This window comes from Homo sapiens, chromosome 8, assembly GCF_000001405.40.
Source record: "Homo sapiens chromosome 8, GRCh38.p14 Primary Assembly".
Classification (NCBI taxonomy): domain Eukaryota; kingdom Metazoa; phylum Chordata; class Mammalia; order Primates; family Hominidae; genus Homo; species Homo sapiens.
Genome location: NC_000008.11, coordinates 18,988,078 through 19,012,170, shown reverse-complemented (window position 1 = coordinate 19,012,170; position 24,093 = coordinate 18,988,078). Strand labels below are relative to the sequence as shown.

The 24,093-nt window shown below is 40.9% G+C and overlaps 1 protein-coding gene and 1 long non-coding RNA gene across 20 annotated transcripts in view, besides 1 other annotated feature; one reads left to right on the top strand and one right to left on the bottom strand.

The window, feature by feature from the left end:
- Positions 1-24,093, top strand: part of PSD3 (pleckstrin and Sec7 domain containing 3) — a 557,503-nt gene that overhangs the window by 72,635 nt on the left and 460,775 nt on the right. The window lies entirely within an intron of this gene.
- LOC105379303 (uncharacterized) lies at positions 5,298-22,909 on the bottom strand. The gene is made up of 3 exons (XR_949546.3): positions 22,759-22,909; positions 12,096-12,146; positions 5,298-11,578 (listed from the first exon to the last, which is right to left on the bottom strand). It is a non-coding gene; the product is annotated as an uncharacterized LOC105379303 (long non-coding RNA).
- Positions 10,239-10,516: a silencer, noted in NCBI's record as "fragment chr8:18859165-18859442 (GRCh37/hg19 assembly coordinates)". NCBI's record gives its function as "represses an EF-1alpha promoter that drives an FKBP-Casp9 reporter gene in an ReSE screen in phorbol 12-myristate 13-acetate-treated (for megakaryocytic differentiation) K562 erythroleukemia cells {active_cell/tissue: K562(+PMA)}" and the evidence as "EXISTENCE:reporter gene assay evidence [ECO:0000049][PMID:32094911]".

Below are 24,093 nucleotides of genomic sequence, written 5' to 3'. Positions count from 1 at the left end.
GAGTAGAGTGGTATCAAGAAAGGGACTTGGATCTGTAGGTAGGACACCTAGCTTAGAGGCTTTGCCACTGACTGGGTGAGTTTTTGCCACCGTCTTGGGCAAATTATTTAACTTCTGTCGCTACAGTTTCCTGGTAGGGTGAGGGGATTAGGTAGATGCTCTTTCAGAGCCTTCTAGCCCTACCATTTGATATTTCCATGCCTAGACACGTTTTATGCATTACTTATTCAGTGATGTACTCTTAATTTCACATTCTAAATATCTGTTTGTGTGTTCTGTGAATGGATCAGCACTCTTATCCTGACCATTGAATGTGGGAGAGTGATTAGAGCTACAAAGCTAAAATAACCTTATTACGGCCAAATTCCGTGGTTGAATGTTGTTGTTGTTTTTTTTTTTTTAAATGCGAGCATAAGAAGCTTGATTTGCCAATCTTAATGTGTGTTTTCTTTAAAGAAAGTTTTGTTGACACTGTTCATTTGTGACCAAAGAATAACATATACCTTATTATGTACATTGCACTTAAGCAATTCAATTCTGCTTTTAATCAGATACTAGTAATTTAAAAAATTGAGTAACCTTGGAAATTCTTACAGGCTAGTAAATCTTGGGAATTTGGAAATAAAAAAATAAAGTAAGATGGAAGTAGCTCATTGAAAAAGAAAAATTTAAAGGTACTTTCAGTCAATGGCTCTGCCCTCTTTCTAAAACCTTGATATTTACATATTTGTTTGCCAGCCCTGATGGAAAATTATTTGAGTGGAATTTAGCGTGGCATTACATTGAAAAAACATGTCCATGGTACTACTACTTTTGGAGGTGATTTTTTTTCTTTTATAGAAATTCAGGTGTGATTTGTCATGCATTATTCATAAACTAAGACACCAGTGTGGTGATAGGTTAATTGCAGTCTTGGTTAAGAGATGCTGAGGCAAAACCATGTGAATATTAAAATGTGTATCTGCTTTGGCTTAAAGACTGGTTTGTTTGAGGTTTACATGGGGTAATGTCATTTGGACATTATGAAAAGAGTGTCTTTGGGTTTGGGTTGGATTGGGAGGTGAGTTATGGATAGTGATCGTTTCCAATTTTTGGAAAGGAATTCAGACATGATTGAAGTTGGGTCAGACTGTAAAAAATAATCTGGTGACCAAAGTCTGTGGAGTTTAGTATGTGAATCAGGCTTATAGGAGGCTGGGGATCTAGTGTGACCTTGAATTACTGCTGTTGTGATTCTCACCATTTAGGGGTTCTTCCCGGACCGTCTGGGCCAAGCACAGAGGTCCTTGGCTTCCCTTTGCTAAGAGTGGAAGTGTTTTCACTTTGAATATTGCCTCTCAGTTCTTCCTAGTTCTTTTACAGTTAAACCAGCCTGGCTTTCATTTAGGAGAGTACAGGATCCATGTGAAATTCTCCAGAGCATTTGTTCGGAGTGCCCATATCTTGACAGCTTGTGTTGTTTGTGATATTGTATGCAGACTCAGGGATTTGCTGGAAAGAATTTAAGTGGTGGCATTATTTTTTCAAAGAGTGTTTCTGAGTTACGTTGACCATCTTTCAAGGACATTTTTCACAAGCTCCAAATTAAGTAGTGTTGTAGTGGCTGTTGCAATTTACAATGGAGAAAAAGGATAATTTGCAGCATATAGTTAACAAGTTATTCTTAAATCCAAATTACCAAATGTCCATGCCTCATTTGAAAATAAGGCATAACTCAACATTAATAATGAATCTTTGCGTGTGCTATCTTATTTATATAAAAACAGTGCATGTCCCTGCAGTGCTTGTTTGCTCTACCAAAAGAAAGGTTTTTCACTGCGCCCAGAAGGTCAACAAACTTGGGCCCAGTTGGTGCCTAGTGGGGAGGGACTTTGTTGACACATCAGGGCACAGAGGTGGCAGAGCATTTTCTCTCTTGGTGACACCGGTGGTGTGAGGGATCCGCCCGCTCTTCTCCCCTTCCTGCATGTCAGGCTGCGGCCATGGCAGACCACTCACTCCTTGAGGCTTACTTGAGGACCACTCACTCCTGAGCCATCTGGTTTGAAATTCCCTTTCCTCTGAGTGTACATCAGTGAGATGAATCAGAATAATTTATACATGTTGAAGGATATTTTTAAAAGATTATTATTGGAGTTAGGGATTTAGGATAACTGGGAAAATTAACATTTTGACCTAAGCTGGTGTTCTTTTCTTACATGGTATTTTCACACGGGTCTTCTGAGAAAGCAGCATTTTCTAAGTTTCTTGTTAAGTCCTGATTTTTCTGTTGTTGTTGTTGACACAAGATCTCACTCTGTCACCCAGGCTGGAGTGCAATGGTGCGATCTCAGCTCACTGCAACCCCTGCCTCTCAGACTCAAGCAATTCTCCTGTCTCAGCCTCCCGAGTGGCTGGGACCACAGGTACACGCCACTGCGCCCAGCTTAATTTTTGTATTTTTAGTATAGACGGGGTTTCATCGTGTTGCCCAGGCTGGTCTCAAACTCCTGAGCTCAGGTGATCTGCCTTCCTTGGCCTCCCAAAGTGCTGGAATTACAGGCATGAGCCACCAGGCCCGGCCAAGTCCTAACTTTTGGAAAACGCTTATTTCGAGTGATATTTTCCTGGCATGGGGCGTTTTTACAATCACAGCTAATGTTTATTGAGTTCTTACTTGGGTTGTCTCCCTTATTCCCCATGACAACCCATGAGGTCAGTAGTGTCATTATTTCCATTCTGAAGTCAGGAGAGGTTAAGGAACCTGCTCAAGATCCCACAGTGAGTAAGTGGCAGAGCTGAGACTTTAAACTCAGGTCATCCAATTTTCTTAACCACCATTCTGTTTTTATGTCTCAAAGTTAGCATTGCGTGTTGCAGAAACTGAGCTCTTTGGCTCTAATATTTAGATTATTCGAGTCTTGGAATCTGAATATTGGATGACTAATTCATCACCGACCATTATACATTTGTTGGCTTAATAGTGGGACCAGATTTGTTGTTTGGCTCAAGAGATAGAAATGGTGTAATTAAACAACAACAACAAAACCCCTGGGGTGTCTAAAAGGATCTCTGTAGGACCACATGTAAGGAGTTCCACGTAGTTATGTGTCATTAATTGGAATTCACAATAAAGCAGATTAACAAATTAAAATGGAATGTATTTTAATTTCTTTTTAATTTCTAATTTAATTTCTAATTGCATCACCTCAGAGAAGTGATCTAGATGCTTCAACCACAGAGGGTGTTGACACAGTGAAGGCTGCTTTTCCTTGTTATTTCTTCCCATGAGCTGGGGCTTAGAGATTGTTAAGAAAAGGAGCTTGAAACAATGAGGAGGAGGATGGGGAATGAGCCGAGGGCATTCATAAGACCAGGCGGCAGCTGCTCCCTGTTTCCCTGGCCTTCTGTTCTCAGACCTTTGCTAAGAAAAAGTGAATTATAGAAATCGAGCAGCTTGGTTTTCTTATGCCTGTTTGGTCTGTGGACAAGAGAAGTAGAAAATTTTAATAGAAGCAGCTGTAGCTTCTTTTGTTTGGCCTCTAGGAGATTACTGGTTAAGGGCCAGTGGAACTGCTTTTCTCTGTATATGGAAACTTACATGCTTTTTTGAATGTAGATTTTCAAAAACTTGTACTTTCAAGAAGTTATTTGATAGGCACAGTTTTGATTGAGTCATAGGACACTAGGAGAGTGGAAATTTAGGTATAAGAGTGATGGCACAGACGATGCCATTAGATGGCTGCTGTCTTCGTGACTGTGTTATTTTCTGGCGAAGTTATATTGGAAAAATGCTTGGAAATTGACAGCAGGCTTTGTGATCTTCCAGAGTGTCTCCTCTGACTCTGCCTTCATGTCCCTACAAGGTGCAAGTAGTGAGTGTTTGAAGAGGCAAGATATTTCTTGCATCTGAAACTTTGTTTGAATAGCAAAGTTACTTTTGGGCAGATTTTTATGTTTCGCCGATTCATTTCTAGTGGCTACAAAAGGTCTGTCAGCCACCTTCCCCACCCGCTGATGCTTATATCTCCCTATAAAAATCTCCCTTGGCCGGGCGCCATGGCTCACGCCTGTAATCCCAGCACTTTGGGAGCCCGAGGCGGGTGGATCGCCTGAGGTCAGCGGAGTTGAGACCAGCCTGGCTGTCATGGTGAAGCCTTGTTTTTACTAAAAATACAAAAATTAGCTGGGCATGGTGGCAGGTGCCTGTAATCCCAGCTACTTGGGAAGCTGAGGCAGGAGAATCACTTGAACCCAGGAGGCGGAGGTTGCAGTGAGCAGAGATTGTGCCATTGCACTCCAGCCAGGCAACAGAGCGAGACTCCCTCTCAAAAATAAAAATAAAAATAAAAATAAAAAATCTCCCTTGAAGAAAAATTAACCATTGCTTTCCATGAGCTAATATCTGAAAGTATCAAGGCAGAGTCTGAAGTACAGATATTATTATGCTGTTGATTTAAGCATTCAGCAAATATTAAGTGCTTACCTCGTGCTGAGCTCAGTGTACACTCCAAAAAACCTTGTCCACTGACCTAGGCAAACCTCACTTGGATCGTACTAGTGCGAGTCAAACTTCACAATCAGCAAATACTGAAACTACAGTACCTAAGAACTCAGAACTTGTGAACTTTATAGAATCGATGCAGTTACTGCCTGAATCAGCATTGTTCAATAGAGCTTTTACTATGATGGAAATGTCCCATATTTGCCCTGTCCAATAAGATAGTCAGTAGCTACATGTGGCTGCTAAGCATGTGAAATGTGGCTAGTGAGATTTAAGAACTGAATTTTAAATTTTATTTAATTTCGATAATTTAAATAGCTTCAGGCCGCTAGTAACTACTATATTAGGGCAACTTTACAGCAAAAGTGCTTTTTTAATAGATGGCATTATCTGTCCTGGGCTGTCATTTCTCACTCTCTCTCTATTTATTTTTTTTGAGACAGGGTCTCACTCTGTCGCCAAGGCTGGAGTGCAGTGGCAAGATCTCGGCTCACTGCAACCTCTGCCTCGGGCTCAAGCGATTCTCCTGCCTCAGCCTCCAGAGGAGCTGGGACTGCAGGTGTGCACCAATCATGCCTGGCTGTTTCGTATTTTTAGTAGATACGGGGTTTCGCCATGTTAGCCAGGCTGGTCTCAAACTCCTGACCTCAGGTGATCTGTCCCCCTCAGCCTCCCAAATTGCTGGGATTACAGGTGTGAGCCACTGGGCCCAGCTGGCTGCAGTTGACTTTTTGTTGCAAGCTGTAGGTGGTTCCCTAATTTCTAGCCCTCTTTGAATCTGCCTAGTATCACAGTGAATAATCAGGTGGGCAGTGCTATATATCAAAGCTAAGGTGTTTTGGGGACACCTGCAGAGCTGTCTTGGAGGCCCAGTTGATTTTCATTGTAGATGAAATTGACAGGAAAAATGTCTGAATAGCATCTGTATTGGCAAGGATTGTGCTGAGTTTTAAAGATAGGTAAGTGAAGGTGCCCGTGTCCAGTGGTTAGAAATAAGGAACATTCTAATAAGGCAGTGGAACAGAGGAAAAAGGTCTTACTCTTTATCCCCAAATACTCTGTAGTGACAAGTCTGGAAGGTAGACAGTCACATTCGCAGGCTCCAGGATTTCTTCAGAGTTAGCCATGTAGGAGTAGTCTTGAGGATAGCAGTGTGAAATTCTCATGGTTAGACCTCTGTTGAAATACATTTTAATTTTGAGTTTTGTAATTTGTGGTGGAACCACAGTATCAAGGCATAACAATACAAAAGCGTGGGGATAGGAAGAGGAGAAAGAATGACATCTATTTAGTATTTATTATGGGCTAGGTACTATGTGAAACATAGTATGTGTGAGTGTGTACATGCATGCATCTGTATGTATTTATATATTCTTTTTTTTTTTTTTTTTTTGAGATGGAGTTTCGCTCTTGTCACCCAGGCCGGGGGTGCAATGGCGTGATCTCGGCTCACTGCAACCCCCGCCTCCCGGGTTCAAGTGATTCTCCTCCCTCCACCTCCCGAGTAGCTGAGATTACAGGCACGTGCCACCACACCCAGCTAATTTTTGTATTTTTAATAGAGACGGGTTTCACCATTTTGGCCCAGGATGATCTGAATCTCTTGACGTCATGATTCGCCTGCCTCGGCCTCCCAGAGTGCTGGGAGCCACCGCACCTGGCCTATATATCCTTTATAGTATTGAAAGGTAGGTGGTGTCTCCATTTTCAGAGGGTGAAATTGAGGCTCATGGAGATTAAATGGGATCCTTTTTTTAAACAACTTTATTGAGATATTCACATACTATACGATTCACCCATTTAAAGTGTACACTCATTGATTTTTAGTATGTTCATGGAGTTGTGCACCCATCACCATAGTCAATTTTAGAGCATATTCATCACTTCAAAAACAGCCCAGGCCAGGCACAGTGGCTCACACCTGTAATCTCAGCACTTTGGGAAGCCAAGGTAGGAGGATCTCTTGAGCTCAGGAGTTTGAGACCAGTCTGGGCAACATAGAGTGAGACCCCTTTAATAGCAAAAAAATTTAAAAATTAGCTGAGCATGGTGATGTGTGCCTGTAATCGCAGCCACTCAGGAGGCTGAGGCAGGAGGATTGCTTGAGCCCAGGAGGTTGAGGCTGCATGCAGTGTGTCGTGATTGCATCGCTGTGCTCTAGTCTGAGTGACAGAATGAGACCCTGTCTCAAAAGAAAACAAAAAAACCCCAAAAATTCCAGACCCATGAGTTGCCACCTCTCCCCATTGCTCCTATCCCTCATCACAGGCAACCACTAATCTATTTTCTGAGTCTGGATTTTGCTGTTCTGCACATATCATGTAAATGAAACAATACAAAATGTGGCCTTTTGTAGCTGGCTTTTTCCTCATGTTTTCAGTGCTCATCCATGAAGTAGCATGTGTTAGTACTTCATTCCTTGTTATTGCTGAATAGTATGCCATTGACTAGATGGGTCACATTTTATTTATCCGTTCATCAGTTGATGGGTTGTTTCCACTTTTGACAGTTAGGAATAATGCCATTCTGAACACAAGCATACAAGTTTTGTAGCCATTCTAGTGGGTGTGAGGTGGTATCTCATTGTGGTTTTGCTTTTCGTTTCTCTAATGACTAATGATGATGAATATATTTTCACGTGCTTATTGGCTCGTATTCGTCCATTTTCACACTGCTGATAAAGACGTTCCTGAGACTGGGCAATTTGCAAAAGAAAGAGGTTTAATGGAATTACAGTTCCACATGGCTGGGGAGGCCTCACAATCATGGTGGAAGGCAAGAAGGATCAAGTCATGTCTTACATGTATGGCAGCAGGCAAAGAGACAGCTTGTGTGGGCAAACTCCCATTTTTAAAGCCATCAGATCTCTTGAGACTTATTACAATCAAGAGAACAGCATTGGAAAGACTCACCCCGGTAATTCAATTACCTTCCACCGGCTTCCTCACACGACACATGGGAATTGTGGGAGTTCCGATTCAAGATGAGTTTTGGGTGGGGACAAAGCCAAACCATATCATTGGCCATCTGTATATTTTCTTTGGAGAAGTGTCTATTCAGATCCTTTGACCGTTTTTAAATTATATTATTTGTCTATTTACTCTTACATTTTAAGCATTGTTTTTATATTCTGGGTTGAAGTCTCCTATCAGATATATGCTTTGCAAATAGCTTCTCTCATTCTGTGGGTTGTCTTTTCTGTTTCTTCTTCCTGACCTTTGAAATAAGTGAAGTTCTTTATCTTAAACAGAGCACCAGAGGGCTTAGCACAGTTCTAGGCCCTCACGTATTTTCCAAAGTGAGTTAACAAAACTTTCAGTATGATGACTTGTGTAACAAATATTGTTTTTTAAATATCTGGTTGGAAGAAGGATGGAGATTTAACCTTTGCCTGAGCTATTTGAGAGGGACCACAAAGCTCTGCAGACTTGAGACTCTTATGTATACTGAAAGGAAATTTTGGAAGCCAGTTCTCTGGAGACTTTTATGTATAGAAAATAGTCTTCTCCTCCTGGATTAGACAGAGAATTGCTTGAAAGGAGGACACCCTACCTAGAAGACCCTTCTTGATCTTTTTAGATACTGTAATGTCATGATCTAAATAGTGTTTCCCAAACTTGTCTGTCAAGAATTACCTGGTTTCAGATTTCTAGGGCTGCCTGAAGATTCTGGTACAGTGGTTCTGAAGGAGCAGTCTTCCTAATCACCCCATGCAAGTCTTAAGATCGGAATGTTTGGGAAACTGATCTCACCTGGTAATAATGATGACCTTAGTGGTTGCCCCTAGAACCTAATTAGTTCTCTTTAGTGGGTGTGGTCTCCAGTTGACAAACATCCCTCGCCAGGGAGATTACAAGGAGCTGATCAAGCCAGTCTGGCTACATTGCTTACCTCAGCACTGGGTCTTGATCCAAGACAACCCAAGTCCCCAACCCCCCACCCCCTGCCAGTGTGGTAGAGATGTGTCATAAAAATTTAAGCCAGGCTCACAGACATTTTCAAGTTGTAAAGTTGCCACCACTCTCTTGGGAGGAATCCTCCCTCCTTCTTCCCTCCTCTTTTAAAATGTGCTCATATTTTCTTACCATTGCTGAATCTCTGGAGGCCTCCCATAGTCACACAGATCTCCATGAAACTCAATGGGGAGAAAAGGGCATGGAAAGAAAAATAAACATTTTACATAATCTCTACACTTTGCTTGTTTTATGTGGTTGATTAGGATCTCCTGAAGAATTTCAGGAGAGTGAGAAGTGTGAAGTTGGGAGGGGGAGACTCACTTACCTGACCTCTTTATTTTTGTTTTTTAAAGACGGGGTCTTGCTCAGTTGCCCAGGCTGGAGTGTAGTGACTACTCCCAGGCGCCATCATAGCTCACTGCAGCCTTCAACTCCTGGCCTCAAACAATCCTCCTCCCTCAGCCTCCCAAATAGCTGGAACTACAGGGGTGCCATTGTACTTGGCCCTGTTCTTCTCTTAAAGGATATTCTGTGTTACCAGAGGCAGTGCAGCATAGTGGTTGGAGTGTGCCCTTGAATTGGATAGTCTGATTTGCTTCTATCTGTGTCACCTTGGGCAAGTTATTTTAACATCTCTGTGCCTCACTGCATCATTACCTCATGGAATACCTCACCAACATTTAGTGGTTAGAAGGGGCTTAGACAGTTTTGGAAAGACAGTAAGTAGGCAGTAAATGTGACCTGGATGGTAGGTTATACTTAGCTGAGTGGGAACTGGAATTATTATTGCCCTTCTTAAAGTCACACACCTATTAAACGGCAAAACTGGACTTTCTTGTACCCTAGACTGTGATTGCCTACAGGTGTGCTTTATGGAAGCCAGGAGAAAAATTCTAATACACTTAGCTCTCTGTTTCTATGGGTTCTGCATCATGCATTCAATCAACCTCAGATCAAAATATGTGGAAGAATGTTGTGTCTGAACATGTATGGACATCTGTTTCTTGTCATTATTTATTCATGTAGTATAACAACTATTTACATAGCATTTACATTGTATTAGGTATTATACGAAACCTAGAGATGACTTAAAGTATATGGGAAGATGTAAATATGTTATGTGCAAATGCTACATGGTTTTATTTTTTTCAACTTTTAACTTTCAGTGTTTTTCTATAGAAAAACTGCACATAAAAGAATAAAGAATTCATGCAGTCATGCCAAATGACCATCACAATCAATCTTGATGGTACTCTTCAGTAGATACTAGAACTACTAAGTTGATATATGCTTGTTCCTTAAAAAGTATACCTCATCAAGGTGAAATAAATGCGATAATAGGAACGGTAAGAACCATGTGTTTATAAGTGCCTCAGGGTCAAGCTCTTACAGTAAGACCAGAAAGTTACACACCCTAGAACACCAGCAACTCACAAGGAAGACGGGGGAGTTGTCGCCTTCCTTCCTTGGAGGTCTTTAGGCTGGGAAAGTTCCATGTAGGTGTGATTTTGCTTGAAGATAGAGATATAAACTTTATGACCTCTCAAAGTCACTTTCTGGCCAACAGCTTTAGCAGTTCTAAGAAGGAACAGTTTCATTTTGCCTTCAAGGGATGTTCCTTTTCTGTGTCCTAAGGCAGGGTGATCAGTTAGTGAGAGAGGATGATATGTTTGCACCAAGCTGCTAGCAGAAATGAGTGTGGCTCAGCTCCAGTCCTGGCCCTTCTCCCCTTGTCTAGTCAACCTCAGCCAGTGCAGGGTACCCGGGGAGGGTCACCGTTAGTCGGCCTCAAAGGCGCTGTTGCTGGCTTTCACATATTCAGACTTCTTCTTGTGCCTTGTCCACAGTTTCTGGGGGATGCTGGGGACACCGCAGGAAGTACTGTCTGTCAGTGATAGGGAAGCTTCTGCTCCTTGGTGAATGGTTGGATACTCTTTGGTCATCCTGAGATGTCTGAATCCTGTCATCTGAATACCTTCCTTCTCTGAGCCCGGGGCTGCTGCCTCCACCAAGGCTGAGGCTGGAGCTTTCCTTGAGATCCAAGACACTGGAGGAATCAAAGATTTTTCCATGTGCTTGATTCCTATACAGATTCGATGCTTCGGGTACAAATCTCCACTTGTTAGCCAGTCAGTCAAAGCAGAGAATTTCTAAAGGCCTTTGCACCGAGCAGCGAGACCAGGCAATAGGGTCAGCCAATGAGAAAACTGCCACTCTTCCAGAGACGCTGGAACTAAGGTCTAAATAAGATCAGTGTGTCAGTGTAGGTGCATTGACTGCAACAAATGTACCGCTCTGGTGGGGGTTGATAATAATGGGGGAAACTGTGCATGTGTTGGGGGCAGGAGGTGTATCGAAAATTTCCTCACCTTCAGCTTAATTTTACTGTGAACCTAGAACTACTCTAATAAATAAAGTCTACGGGCCTGGGCAACATAGTGAGACCCCACCTCTACAAAAAAGAAAAAATTTAGCCAGATGTGATGGTGCGAGCCTGTAGTCCCAGCTACCTGGAAGACTGAGGAGGGAGGATTGCTTGAGCCTAGGAGGTCAAGGCTGCAGTGAGTTGTGATCACATCACTGCATTCCAGTCTGGGTGACAGAGCAAGATCTTATCTAAAAAAAAAAGTCATTTTAAAAAGATAATACATGTGGAAGCATTTAGCACTGTGTTTGCGCGTGGCAGGTGCTCAGAGAATGTGTGCGCTTAGTTCCTTCTTACTCATTACATCACTTTGTATAAGAGATTTGAGCACCTTTGAATCCCCAAATCTATGACCAATCCCCACTTATGCCCCACTTTACCGATGGACGACTATATGTGGTGCTTTGGCCCAGGGTCCTCATTCAATATGTTTCTTTAGCGAATGAGTTAAACCCCATAGGCTGTTACATAGCTAAGTACAGGAACCCTATTAAGAATATACGGCAGAGTAGGTGCTCTGATATTTAGCTTCGTCTAACGGCAGAATAGAATTTCCTGAGTCAGCAGGATTTCTGGCCTGATCACTTTTTTGCTATTGGCTTCACAGTGGCTTCATCTCCTGTTTTGGAGACAGGGAATTTTCCCCATTCCCTGGGCTGCTTTTAGAGCTTCAGGTGTGTGACTTTCATTAATAGCTCTCTTGCAAATGGCAATCTAGGACATAAAAGATAAGAGTAATGTGTTACTATGGATTTCCTCACCCAGCTCTTTCCCTTCTGGCAGAGACTTCTGATAGAAGTAGATAAAGGCTTAGGCTGTGTTCACCGGGTGTGATGTAGCAGTCTCAGAGATCTGTTTCATTCATTCTTTTGATTGTATCAGGTTTTTTTTCTCTCTCTTTTTTTTTTTTCAGACAGAGCCTTGCTCTGTCAGCAAGGCCGGAATGCAGGGGCATGATTCTAGCTCACTGCAGCCTCGAACTCCTGGGCTCAAGTTATCCTCCCACCTCAGCCTCCCAAGTAGCTGGGACCACAGGCACACACTAACATGCCTGGCTAATTTTTGTATTTTAACTTTTTGTAGGGATGGGGTCCCACCATCTTGCCCAGGCTGGTCTCAAACCACTGGCTTGAAGTGATCCTCTCACCTTGGCCTCCCAAAGTGCTGGGATTACAGGTGTGAGTCACTGTGCCAAGTCATATTTTTTCATTTTGGGTGCAATTCTTCCTACCTTCTCGGTGTGGCTTGTATATCAGTTGTTGGCCTCTCATATTGCTGTGTCCTGCTTGGGAAAGAAAGTCTAATAAAATACAATATCATATTCTAAAACTGGAGCTTATGTAAAGATAATATAGTTTATAGATTTAAAAGAACTTGACAGGCCTAGAGGAATTAAAGCCGAAATTTTAGAAGCGTTACTAAAACAAATGTATCTGTGATTAGTCAGTGAGAAAATATTATCATTTATAAAATCATTAAGTAATGATTCAGAGGGAAGTTCAGTAAGATTCAGAGGGGAGTTAGAAAGATAATGGTAATTCCATTTTTTAAAAAACTTGGGTGGTGTAGTTAGTATACAGAGGTATTTCCTTCATGAATATTTGTATTTTATAAATATTTTGTAAAGTTTTATTTTGCCTCTGTTTAGTAAAAAATAATTTTAAAATAAAAAATTTGTCAGTAGAATTCTCTTGTGGCCATTTAATGGCTTCTTTCTAAAGCATTCCATTTAGCAATACACCTCTCTCTCTCATTATGCTTATGTTTGTTTTACATAATATTTAAGTTACATAATTTTGGTAGCAAGTACAACCAGGACAAATCCATTCAGGTGCAAACACAACTGATTCTTGGTAATCGCCACCTCAGTCATGTGGGCAGAATTTCATGAGCTTGCTGTAGTCTTAAGACCACAGCCTGAGCGCCAGGTACTGATTTTTTCATTCTGTTTCTTTATCTGTCACCAGCTGTGAGCAGCAGGTATGAATGGGCATCAGCCAGCATGTCTTCCCGGGTAACTTGTGTCACCTTGTGAGACATCCTGGAGTTGGTTAATTGGAGGGTGGTTAAGAATTTCTGCTGTATACATAACTTCAGAAACAAAAGCAAACCTGTTATGGTCTAAGGAATGAAAAGGGTTATTATAAGGTAGAGACATTAGGACATTCTTTCCATTTTGTTCTAAAATCACTTTTGGCATTTGTCTGCCTCACATCACTTATGTTGTGTACAAAGCTGCTTCCCTCCTGAATAATTTATTTCTACATCTAAAATGTTTGCTGAGATTATTTTGCTTTCCTTTCACCTGGAAGATAATTTTAGGTTTTTAAGAAATGTGGTTTATAAAAATGGGACCCACCATGTCCATCTACAGAGTGAGTGAGTTACTAAAGTATAACAAAAACGTTTTTTTCTGTCTTGTACTTGAGTCCAGAAGTTCACTGAAAATGGGTTACACCTGGAATTTATGTATCATAACTATAAAGTGCTTTGTACTTTGCATCATAATTTCTCTTTCATCTAAAGAAATCAAAGTCCATTATATTAGCCTGGCTACATTCACCTGCTTGCAGAAAGGGTGGACCTTTTGGGACCCATTTTTTTGTTTTTTGTTTTTGTGGAGATGGAATCTCGCTCTGTTGCTCGGGCTGGAGTGCAGTGGCAAGATCTTGGCTCACTGCAACCTCCGCCTCCCGCGTTCAAGCGATTCTTCTGCCTCAGCCTCCTGAGTAGCTGGGACTACAGGTGCATGCCACCACACCCAGCTAATTTTTCGTATTTTTAGTAGAGACGGGGTTTCACCGTGTTAGCCAGGATGGTCTCAATCTCCCGACCTTGTGATCCACCCGCCTCGGCCTCCCAAAGTGCTGGGATTACAGGCGTGAGCCACCGCACCCGGCCCAGGACCCATCTTTTAAATGAGCTCTGGTGAAGCAAGGTCCAGGGTTTTGAGAAAGCCTAGCACCCTTGGAGTGTTTCAGGGCATCTCTCAGTTAAGAGAGCTTTTTCTTTACAATGGGCCAGATTTTGTATGTGGTTAATTTAATTATCAAATTGGCGCAGCTTTGTCTTTTCCACGGTATCTGAATATATGTGCATACCAAGTGACTTATTTAAAATACAACTCTTTTAAAAGGCTACAGGGCGTACTGTAATAGGTCATATGCAGTTCTGTGTCACAGTCACTTTTCCTTCATTCATACATTCATTCAACAGATGGTGTTTGAGTGTCTCCTATGAGGCAGGCATTATTTTAGGTTCCAGGGATACAGTGGTCAACAAAACAGACAAAAAAATAAGTAAAATAAAAATTAAAAAAGAAAAAAATCCTTGTTCTTACAAGGTAAGACAGACAGTGTATGAGTTGTGTCTGCATGTGCGTGTGTGTAGTATGTTGACAGTGTGAAGCCCTTCAGGGAAAAATAAGGCAGAGGAGGGAGTTTGGGAGGGGGTGGAGTTGCAGTTACAAATGGGTGGTCAAGGATGACCTTGTTGAGGTGACGCATGAGGAAAGACCTGAAGAAGGAAGGTAAGTGCACCGGGAAGAGGGCACAGCAGGTGCAGAGCCCTGAGGCAGAGCCATACTTCCTGCCTTCCAGGAACAGGGACACCAGTGTGACTGGAGCACAGTGAGCAGTGGGGTCGGACCGGACACCGTCGCCAGGTCCTGTGGGGCCTTGTTGCTATTGCAAGGGCTTCGGTTTGGACTGAGAGTGAGCAGAGAAGCCTGTTAGAGAGTTTCAAATAAAGATGGGACATGATCTGGCTGATGTTCTTGGAGGACATGCTGCTGCTGTGTCTCATGAGAATAGACTGAAGCGGGGAAGAGTGGAAGTAGGAAAACCAGTTGGGAGGCTGTTGTAACCTAGGTGAGTGAGGGTGGTGGCTTGGACCACCATGGTATGTTTTGAAGGTTGAGTGGGAAGGATATTCTCATTGTCTGAATGTGGGATGTGAGTGGGAGAAAGCATGGGTGACTTGCAAAATACTGGCCTGTGCATCTTGAAGGATGGAGGTGCATTAACTGAGATAGGGAGAAGCTGATTTTGGAAAGGATCAGGAGCTCAGTCAGGGAGCTGTCTGGTAGGCAGGTGGATATATTTATCTGGATTACAGAGGAAGGGGCTGGGTTAGAGGTGAACATTTGAGAGTTGTCAGAATATACAAACTGGATGAAATCCACAGGGAGCGAATGTCAATAGAAAGGAAAAGAAGTTGAGGGCCAAAACCTGGGCTGCTTCCACACTGAGATTGAAGAGATGAGAAGGCACCAATAAAGGAGAATGAAGGAAAGCAGCGAATGAGGGGAATCGAGAGTGCGAGGTCTTGCCAGCCATGTGAAAAAACCACTTCAAGCAAGATGAGTCAGATTCTCCCGGGAAGTAAAGTAAAATGAGGGGCAAATGAGATTTGACCCAGGGATTTAGCAATGGAGATGTCATTGCTGAGGTTGATAACCAACTGGGATTATAGTGTAGTAGTGGGGACCAAATGTTGATCAGTGGGTATGTAAGAGAGCGCAGAAGTAGAGAAACGGAAACATCAAATGTAGAAAAATATTGCAAAGATTTTTGCTGTAAAGAGAATGTGAGAAATGTAGCTGCAGGGAGAAATGAGGTCAAGAGATGTTTTAAAAATGCAGGAAGTAACAGCATGTTCGAATACCAATGGGAAAGACAGTAAAGAGGAAAAAAATATGATGCTTCATGTAGTAGCATAATTCCCAAAGGACCTTTGGTGTAATTTAAAACAGCCCAAATCATCTAGCTTACTGTTGTAAACACTAATTTTTGTTAATGCTGTTGATTTTTTTCAACATAAAGTCCTTATCTTCCCATCTCCATCAAAAATCAAAACTGTTTCTTTTGTCTGAGCCGTTAAATAAATGTCTTTTGGGTATGAATTGTGTCTGCTCATCTTGTTCAACCTCAGGGAGTCCCTAGTTCTGTTAATAGTTATGCAATATGCATGGATCTGAGGTACACTCTGTCCACATGTTTTCAGTAACTGATGACTTCTTTAGCTCTCATCTGAGGCACAGATTCCCCACCGTCCATTAAGCATGTATAAGATCACATTTTCCAAGAATTTATTCAGTCAACTAAATGTTCATTGCATGCATTAAACACAAAAGGCCCCATGTTTCCAGGTAGCAACCACAGGGCAACAGATGGGTAATAAGAGTAAGAATTTAAAGAAACCGGTGTCCTTGGATCTTGTGTGGATGACCAGTTGTTTCCCAGACATTACTGTGGAAATCACCTGGGGACATTGTTGAAGTGAAGATTCTGATTCTTTAGTTCTGGAGTGGGGCCTGAGATCTGCATGTTTAACAAGCTACTAGGTGATGCTACGGATGCTGGCTGATATGGTTTGGCTGTGTCCCCACCCAAATCTGGTCTTGAGTTGTAGCTCCCATAATCCCCACGTGTCATGGGAGGGACCTGGTGGGAGGTAATTGAATCATGGGGGTGGGTTTTTCCCTGCTGTTTCTATTGATGGTGAATAAGTCTCACGAGATCTGATGGTTTTATAAAAGGCAGTTCCCCTGCACATGCTCTCTTGCCTGCCACTATGTAAGATGTGCCTTTGGCCGTTTGCTTTCCTCCATGGTTGTGAGGCCTTCCTAGTCAAGCTGAGCTGTGCATCAATTAAACCTCTTTCCTTTAGAAATTACTGAGTCCCGGGCATGTCTTTAATAGCAGCCTGAGAACAGACTAATACACTGGTGCACCTCATTTTGAGTAGAAAGAGATCTTAGGGTAATACTTCCTGGTTTATTTTTCCTCCTTAGATTTTGCTTCTGCTCTTCCTCTACTTCTCTATTATTGCCACATTGGGCCTTTTCCAGCTGGAACTTTCAGACTCAGAACAACAATATATTGTTGTAGCATTTGTTGATAGCATTTCAGTATCTCCGCTTTCCACTCTGCATTTTTATTGATCTTTGCAAAAAAGCTACTGGCGTCTGGGAGTTTTGTTTAGTAATTAGATAGCTGAAGAGACTAGGCCAAGTTTCATTTGCATTATGTAGGGAAGGCCAGACTTCTGGGTCTCATTCACATCCCAAGGCCATATTTGTCCTAGACCTCTGAGTACATGCTTTGGAGCTATAGGCAAAGTCCCAGTACTGGGGCCAATTTGCCAGTTCAGTTGTCAGCTTTTAAATTCTCTGGATTCCTACTTGCTAAGGCCAAATCTCTTCAGTAAACAGCTCCCTTGCTGGAAAGCAGTCCTTTGGCTTTGTTATAAATAAATTTTGTCAGCTTGTGGAAAATAGAATAAACCTTTGAAAGTCACCACTGGCTAATGAAAGCTTCTTAGATGGCTCTAGACTGGACGCGGTACTTAAAAAGTACCTATAAAAGGATATGTCTCGGTGGGGGTTGGAGAAGAGTTTGAAATTAATTATCTGAACTCTGAAAATTCCTGTAAATTCTACATTTAGTTTCTGCTATACTTTAGACCATAGATCTTGTCCTGATTTTAATGAGGCATACTTTTTAGGATCTTCTGTATGGGTGCTATTCAATAGAAATATGATGAGAATTTCACAAGTAAGTTTAAATTTTCTAGTAGCCACATTAAAAAAAAGTAAAAAGAAATCAATGGAAGTAATGTAGGTAATATATTTTATTTAACCTACTGTGTCCGAAATATTGTCATTTTGACAAAAGCTTAGTGATAATTTATATTCTTTGCTTGTACTTAGAAATCTGGCCTATATTTTACACTCACAGCACATCTGCCATATTTCAGGTGCTAAATGGCCCCATGTGACTGTCGTATTAGACAGCACAGGTGTATATGCAGAGCAGCTGCAGGTATGACAAGCACAGTTTTATTTGTTTCTTTATCTCATAATTCTCTGTTAATACCAACACATGATTTGCTGTAGTGAGGCATATATGGTTAGTTAAGTATTAAAATAAAGATGGATTTTTTTACAGTAATCTTAAAATCTACCGTAAAAACAAATGGATGTTTCAGAAAATAGATAATTATAAATATGCAGAGAATACAAACATGTTGATTGACTTCAGCAATGGCTAACAGAGATGAGGACCTATAAAAATTGAAAATGTCTGAGACTTCCAGATAATACATTTTTAGCAATGTTGTTTAGGATAATTTACTGCCCCTCATAAGGTAGATAGGTCCTGTCATGACTCACATTTTATAGATGTGAAGCCTGAGACCAGAGAGGTTAAGTAATTTGCCTTAGATCACACAGTGGGTAAGTGGTAGATCTAGGATACGGAACTCTAGTCAGTCCGGTTCCAGAGCTCACTCCCTTCAACTCTGTGCCAGACTGCCTTCTCAGCACATGTCAGTGATACATACATTTGCTTCATCTTTTAAATGGTATGATTGAGGGATAGTGCTCTTTAGCTGAAAAAAGTGATTGATATAATCAAATTATATTGATATAATCAAATTGTTTGATATAATCAAATTGTTCTGGAAAACAGAGGATAAATTAACTCCTTAAATAAATCATACCCTGTTTGCCATTAATTTAAGTCTTAATTTCAGAGTTACTTTATCTTGGTTTCTGATTGATCTTCGATTTAAATTGAGCCTCAGCATTTTTTCTACCTATCCCTGATGTGGGGAAAAACAGCTAATAATGTATAAGGCAAACTTTCAGTGTTATTGAGAGCTAAAGCATACAACTGAATTGGGGGGATAAGCTCTAATACTCATGAAATAGTATTACAATTTATTGTTACTAGCAATCACAGCAGCAGTAGCCATTTATTGAGAGGTTACTATCTGCCAAACCTTGTGTTAAGACTTTACACTCATTATCTTATTTAACTGTTAAAGCAATGCTGTCAAGTTGGTTTTATCTTCATCAATAAATAAGTGCCAGAAACAGTGCCACTATACTCTGAAACAATGAGACTCTGAGAATTATTTTATTGGATTCTGGGTGTCACATTTAAAGGGGGACATTAACAGTGAACAGGTATGTGAGTGGTGAAAAAATCATGTGATGTCAGGAGAGGTCATAGAACTGTGATCTTTAACCTAAGGAGAGAAGACTTAGTGGACGTAATAGTTACCAGTAAGTGTTTGGAATAAAGAATATGATCTAAAGAGAAAACTGACTCTGGCAAAAGGAGTACACTCACTCTGTCTTTCTCTGAGGACTACAGAAAAGACATTTACAAGATTTTCTTATTTTGGATTTTAATCCAATTTTAATGGGACAGAGGCTATGTCACTCCCTAGATATTCTGGATTAAATTATTGCATTTGGAAGATTTGGATTATACAAGAAATTAGGAATTGACCTTTGGATGAGGTGTCTATTTCTGATTTTGTAATAAATTGCGTCCTTTAATCAGATTATTTTTATGATAGAAATAATTATTGAGTTGTTTTGTCAATTAAGTTGGAGATTGTGATTAATAATACAATATCAGAGCTCAGACGGACCTTAGAAATCTTGGAGTCTCATGTCATTTTGCAAATGAGGAAACAGAAAGAAAATGAATTAAGGACAAAGTTGGACAAGTACTCAGGTGTTGACTTCAAGTCCACTACTTAAAAAAAATTATGGTTTCTAATGTATGGATGAAGAAGACTGAATCATTTCTAGTACATTTTTAAAGGTCCTGTTGAATCTTCTTCAGAGTTAACAAAATGAAGTAGCCTGAAGTTCATTTGTTCTAATTAGGGCACACTTGAGTCCTTTTTGGTTATCTTATCTGAACTTGGAGTTCAGTGATTTTCCTAAAGAAAAGCTTTCAGTTCGTCAACTTCTTTTATTGTTAGTGTTTTATTTCCCTGGAAACTTGTGCATCTTTTTATTGAAAGGATAAGAAAGGATATAGTGGCTCTCTGAATTTATCCATTCATTCAACAAGTATTTATTGAGGTGTGTGCCAGACACTTCCAAGCACAACTGTAGGGTCATTAGCTTTTACTGTGAGATGAGAAACCATCAAATTGTTTTGAACAGAAGATTAGAAGATTTTTTTTTTTTTTAAGTATCACTAACAAATTAAAAGGATTCCCTGGGAGTTTCAGCAAGCTATAGTCCCACTTGCCTTGATTTAATGAGACATACCTTTTGATCTCAGCACACAATTGGGATTAACTGCAGTTTGAGGTCTGATCCTTATTAGTTATATAACTGAATTCACAATAAAGCCTGAAACTTTTTCATAAAAACAGGGTATAAACCTGTTAAAAATGTTCTACCATAGACTGGTTTGGAAACCATTATGAATTCATGATGGAATTTGACCGACCTAGGTTTGATGGACATTTTCACTGATGATTCAATTTTGGGCAAACGTATTAGTTTTTCTGAGCCTCAGTTTCTTCATTAGTACAATGAGGGTAAAACTTGTTACGTAGGAGTGTTTTTGAGGGTTGAATGATTTAAGGGAAATCGTGATTGTGAAATGCTCAGCCCCATGTCTGGCGCATTGTAAATATTCAATAAAAGCACAGCCATTATTTTGATAATTTAGTCAAGGGGATTTTAAACATGGATAAAAGTTGTTTTGAAGCTAGATTGAGGGTGCTAATTCAGACCCTTAATTTATTTTTACTTTAGAGCTCAGACAAAATGTCTTTAATGCCTTTGTCTAAAGGTCCTGACATTGAAACAAGCATTAAAATGACACCTCTAACTTAATTAACACTGTTTGTTTTGCATGTATATGAATTAGTCTTTTTAAGTGTCACTGGCTGTTTTGGTGGTGTCCCAAATTGACAAATGCTCCCTCCCTCATTCCACAGGTATTACCAATTTTGGACCAATTCTGGTGGTTCAGCTATCAATAAAAGCAGTCAGAGAAGGCCCTGCCTGTAGGTCACAGTTGACCCTAGCCACAGGACACCCAGGGAAGTGGTGTACTGTGAAACCTCCCCAGGGAGTTTCAGGAGTGTGTGTGTGTGTGTGTGTGTGTGTGTATGTGTGTGTGTGTGTGTGTATGTGTGTGTGTGTGTTTTCTGTTGCCCAAGATTATTGTCCGAGAGAGTAAACACATCACCTTATGACTCTGTAGCCAAGTTCACTTCTGTAGTAATTTTTTGTTTGTGTATTTTTACCACTGAAATTCAGTCTGACTTAGTTCAATACTGCATCTAAACCAGTGTGTGGTCAAAAGTATTAAATTTGACTTGCTAATCTCCACGCGGGATGAGGGAGAGACCCTATGTAAAACTGAATTGGGCCCATGTAAAACCCGTGTTTCTGGTGCCCCATTTTCCTTGGGCTCTGGCCGGCAGCTTCTTCTACCCCAGTTATGTATTTCACTTTCCTGGGGCTGAAGTATCAGCTAGCTGAGCTGATAAATTTATCTGGGTTAATAGGAGAGAGTAAGAGGATCATCTGGTCCTTTTAACTGTCTTTGGAGGCAGGATTTTGCTTCCCCCACTCCTCAGTTATTTGAAAGCACTTTGGCAAAACTGAGATCACTGCATGACTGTTAGTGTAACACTGCAGCTTGGTTGATCTGTTCGTGAATGTGATCATCAGGGGAATTACAGATCATGGAAAGGTAGGTGGAGGACAGGCCTCTGGAGAAGGTATTCATAGGCACAGGCAACCTTTTCTGATTGTGTAATTACTTTAAAATATTCTGTTTTAAAAAATTTCAATTAAAATTTGTTTCCTTATTACCAGAAATATCCTGGTAATTGTAGATTGCCCGGGTGGGGATGAGGAGAAGTTGCCAGTTTAAGCCAAACCACATGGAGTGAGAATGAGGGAAAGGTGACTTCAAGAAGAAAAAAGGTGTTCTGTTACCAGGAGAAGGATTGCTGGCCAGGCAGGAACAGCAGATGTCCCTGGCAGATGAAATGGCGCTGGCCAGAGGAAGCATATGCCGTACAGAGGAATATCAAGCACAATGGCCATGGGCAGAAAAGAGCGTCGCATATGAAGAACTGAGAGAAGGCCAGGCGGCGGAGCCAAGTGAGGAAGAGTGGGTGGAGCGGTAGGAATGAAGGCATGGGATTGCAAAGATAAGCTAGGGCCAGACCATGCAGGGCCTTACGGCTAAAGGAGGGTACCTGGATTTTATCCTGTGAACATGGAAGGTCACTGAAGAGGTTTAAGCAGTTTAGCCTTTTAAAAAAATCACTCTGGATGCCCTGTGAAGAACGGATTGAAGAGGGCAAGAAAGGAAGCAGAGGGATTAATCAGTGAGCTTTTGTAGGTGAGAGATGAAGATTTCTTGGACAGGGATGGTGGCAGCTGTGATACAGACAAGTGGAAAGATAAATGAGCCACATTTTGTGTAGATCAACAGAACCTGATGATTGATGGGGTGTAAGGAAAGGAAGAATGACATAGATTTCTGCCTCAATTAATGGGGATTCTTGGAGTTGCCATTTATTGAGATGTAGCACTCTTGTTGGATATTGCTTTGTGTTACATCCTTCCACCTAGACTATAAGCTTCTTAGATCAAAGATAAGGCAGCATTTCATCTTTCTTCACCATTGATTCTAGCACAGTGCTGAGGCATTAGAATAGCCACTTGGTTGGGCATATGTCAGGTGGGAAGTTGATCCAAACCCCACTTGCAGGGTGGCTCTTGAGAGGCAGCTTAAAGGAATAAAAAGTGCCATTTGTTAGGATATTTATTGTTGTTGGTTTTTAGATTTGTTTGAGATGATGCAAGTTATGTAAGAAGAAGGTACTATGAGCATAGAAAATGTAATCAGACCTCAGAACTAAGGAGATTTGCCCAAGATAATTTATTAATAGAGCTGGGACATTCTCTAATCCCTAGTATTCTCATTAAATCATCTAACCTATACTTGCTATTTTGAGTAATTTTTGTTTCCTGACTAAAATCTGTGTTTCTTTTTTCTTTGATGCTCTTCTACATGTTAAAAATAAAACCAAATACCAAATTTATTCACCTTTGATGCTTTGAGCTTCTCAGTTCCTTCTGGTCTCTTTTTGTTTTTCTCCTTTCCAAAACTCATTCTGAAGGACCCATGAAAAGAGACTGAAAGCAGAAGAAATCTGTCCAGTCACTCAGCAACACCTATCTGAGGTAATAAGGCAAATGAAACCACTTCAAAAATTGTCCTAGAACAAAAAATGGCTTCTAGAACATTGTGCAGTGTCTAGCTCCAGTGCACAGGAGGTGCTCACTGGTTATTGAGACTCAGCCCCGCTACCTTGTGTTTTTACATTCATGGCCTTTGTCATCTCTGGCATGCTATTTATTTCTTCATAAGAGAATTTTAAAACTGGAGGAATTGAATAGAGGCCGTCTGAAAAAAGAATACCTACGGAACCCAATTTATCTTTACCTGGAGTCCCGACCATGCAGGCTGCTGTTTATTAGAACACAGTGACAGTCACATGGTGGGCTCGGCCCTGGCTTGCAGTCAGCTTTGAAGCCCCCATGGCAAAATGGCAAGCGCTTACATTCCCGGACAAACACACGCTTTTTATTCCATGTCATTTTTCCATTGCTGTAGACTTGTAAAACAATGGTTAAGAGAATTTCAGAAACCAAAGTTATTTTCCCTGCTCTTATTTGCATATTTCTGTTCCTTAAAAGTTTCTAAGGTAAAAAAGTCCCCAAGTTTGGGGACTCTCTTCCACACCTTCAAATCAACACTTTTTAAACATGTGATAGTGTCATTAATGTTCTTGTGAACAATGGCTTAAGTAGTGTGATTGGAAATAGAGCTCTGGAGGAGCTTGGCATTGGGGGTTGGGTGAGCATTTTTGAGTTGGGTAATTAGTCAGCTACAACCATGTAGAACAGAAGTGATGATTAGACTAATTAGGAAAACCATTTCCTAAGTGCTGTGGTAGACCCAAGGGCAATGGCCTAGAAATGCCGCCTTCCCTGATTTATTTGATTGATGAAAAGCAGGTTTTCCACTTGCGGGCTTATTTATTTTTTAAATTAGAGATTTGTTTGTCTCATTTTCATCTGTTACAGTTTTATTTCCAAGATAACAGAGAGGCAGGAGTGTCTTATTCGCAGTTTGGGAATAGGGCTTTCGTGCTTTTCCTTTCATTCCCTTTACTACACGATTCTAGTGGAGCAGATTTATCAGGGCACTTTTAGTCAAATCTTTGCAAAGGACTCACATGTTTTATGTATTCAGAATTCAATTCAAGCAGCTTTTCTAGTGACAGGCTGCTTTCTGGTCTCCTTTATACACCTAACTTATTCATGTGTATATATATATATGTATTTATTTATTTATTTTTTCTAACATTCATTGGTG